Here is a 1,919-nt window from a genome sequence, read left to right on the forward strand (position 1 = left end):
TAGAGTTGTGAAAGAAAAATATCTTGGGTCCTTTCAAGCTGGGAACCGCTCAGGGCAAATCTGCCTCCTATTCTATTCAAGTCAGCCCTTTGCTCACAGAGATAGATGCATTTTCTGATTGCCTTCTTTGCAAAGACTTATCAAAAACTCAAAAGAATGCAACCATCTGTCTCTTACCTACCTGTGACCTGGAAGCCCTCGGTGGGGGGGCCTTGCTTTGAGCTGTCTCTGCCTTTCTGGATGGAACTAGTAAACTTCTTACATACTGATTAATGGCTCATCTCCCTAAAATGTATAAAACCAAGCTATGCCCCGACCACCGTTAGGAAACATGTTGTCAGGACTTCCTAAGGCTGTGTCACGGGTGCGTCCTCTACCTTGGCAAGATAAAATTTCTAAATTAACTGAGACCTGTTTCAGACTTTCTTGTTTCAGAGTTCACCCATTGCATTGTTCAGATCCACTTGCTTCATCCCATCTGGGAATTGCTCCTCTAGGATTGAGGTCAATCTCTCTTCCTGGGAAAACTTATACAAGGAAGGTTAGTAGAATGAACTACAGCCTCCATAATTACAACTGGTCTCAGGGCTATAAATAATACTCATCATTTTCTTGCTCAACTACCCACTTTAGATTACTCTCACCCTCATCTAGCACCTCTGCTAGTCTGAAAGATTTACCTGAGGAGGTGACCCTGACTCTCATCCCTAAGTTTTACAGCCCCATGATCTTTTCAAAACATTGTTTTTGCCCTTGTCTATTTACTATCAAAATTAGAAAAGAAACAAGAGAAGCAATTAACTAGTTAATCCTGGTTAGAAGAGAAGCAATTAACTAGTTAATCCTAGTTAATCATATGCATGCCAAATATATATTTTTCCCTGCCCCCATTGATTAACAACAGCCCTGTCTCTTGATGATTACAGTCAATTATCACAATTAGGATAGTGTTTCTTCTCATCAGCTGGTGGTTTTGGTACAAGGGGGCCAAAGTGTCCAGGGAGTACACTAGCTGTGTTTTCTCACTGAAGCCTTTTCCCTCATAGAACCGGATCCTTTGGACCAGTAGAGACTTGCAAAGAAGAAAAGCACAATTATCCAAGTGCATCTCTGAAATTAATGGTAGCACAAAGAAGGAATAAGAGGAAGGATTAGTACAGAGATTGTTTGTATATAATAATATGAGTATTAGTATAAAATAAAGTCAAAGATTGATAGAAAAGTTAAAATGATTATTTTAGCAATCCAGGCAAAAAAACGATGAAAGCCTAAAGTAGGGCAGCAGCAATGTGGAAGAATGGTTGGCATTTGAGAGTTTCACTCGCGTCCGTGTGAAGAGACCATGAAACAGGCTTTGTGTGAGCAATAAAGCTTTTTAATCACCTGGGTGCAGGCTGGCTGAGTCCAAAAAGAGAGTCAGTGAACGGAGATAGGGGTGGGGCTATTTTATAAGATTTGGGTAGGTAAAGGAAAATTATAGTCAAAGGGGGGTTGTTCTCTGGTGGGCAGGAGTGGGGATCACAAGATGCTCAGTGGGGGAGTTTTTGAGTCAGGAAAAGGAATTTCACAAGGTAATGTCATCACTTAAGGCAAGGACTGGCCATTTTCACTTCTTTTGTGGTGGAATATCATCAGTTAAGGCAGGAACAGGCCATTTTCACTTCTTTTGTGATTCTTCAGTTACTTCAGGCCATCTGGGCATATACGTGCAGGTCACAGGGGATGCGATGGCTTAGCTTGGGCTCAGAGGCCTGACAGAGACATTTTTAAAAATGGAATAAACCAGATTCATTCATAGAAGGAGGGTCCTAAGATAATTCCCATGATTCTAGCTTAGATTATCACAAACAAAGATGGAAGATACAGGATAAAGAGTAGATTTGGTCCTTTATTTGGTTTGTTTTCAAGGTGCCACAGGA

At 41.1% G+C, this 1,919-nt stretch overlaps 1 annotated feature.

Moving 5' to 3' along the window:
* Window positions 1,347-1,919: an enhancer, noted in NCBI's record as "NANOG hESC enhancer chr5:42288621-42289193 (GRCh37/hg19 assembly coordinates)". NCBI's record gives its function as "activates a minimal SCP1, AML or CMV promoter by ChIP-STARR-seq in primed H9 embryonic stem cells {active_cell/tissue: H9 hESC(primed)}" and the evidence as "EXISTENCE:reporter gene assay evidence [ECO:0000049][PMID:30033119]".

The sequence above is a fragment of the Homo sapiens genome, chromosome 5, assembly GCF_000001405.40.
Source record: "Homo sapiens chromosome 5, GRCh38.p14 Primary Assembly".
Taxonomy (NCBI): domain Eukaryota; kingdom Metazoa; phylum Chordata; class Mammalia; order Primates; family Hominidae; genus Homo; species Homo sapiens.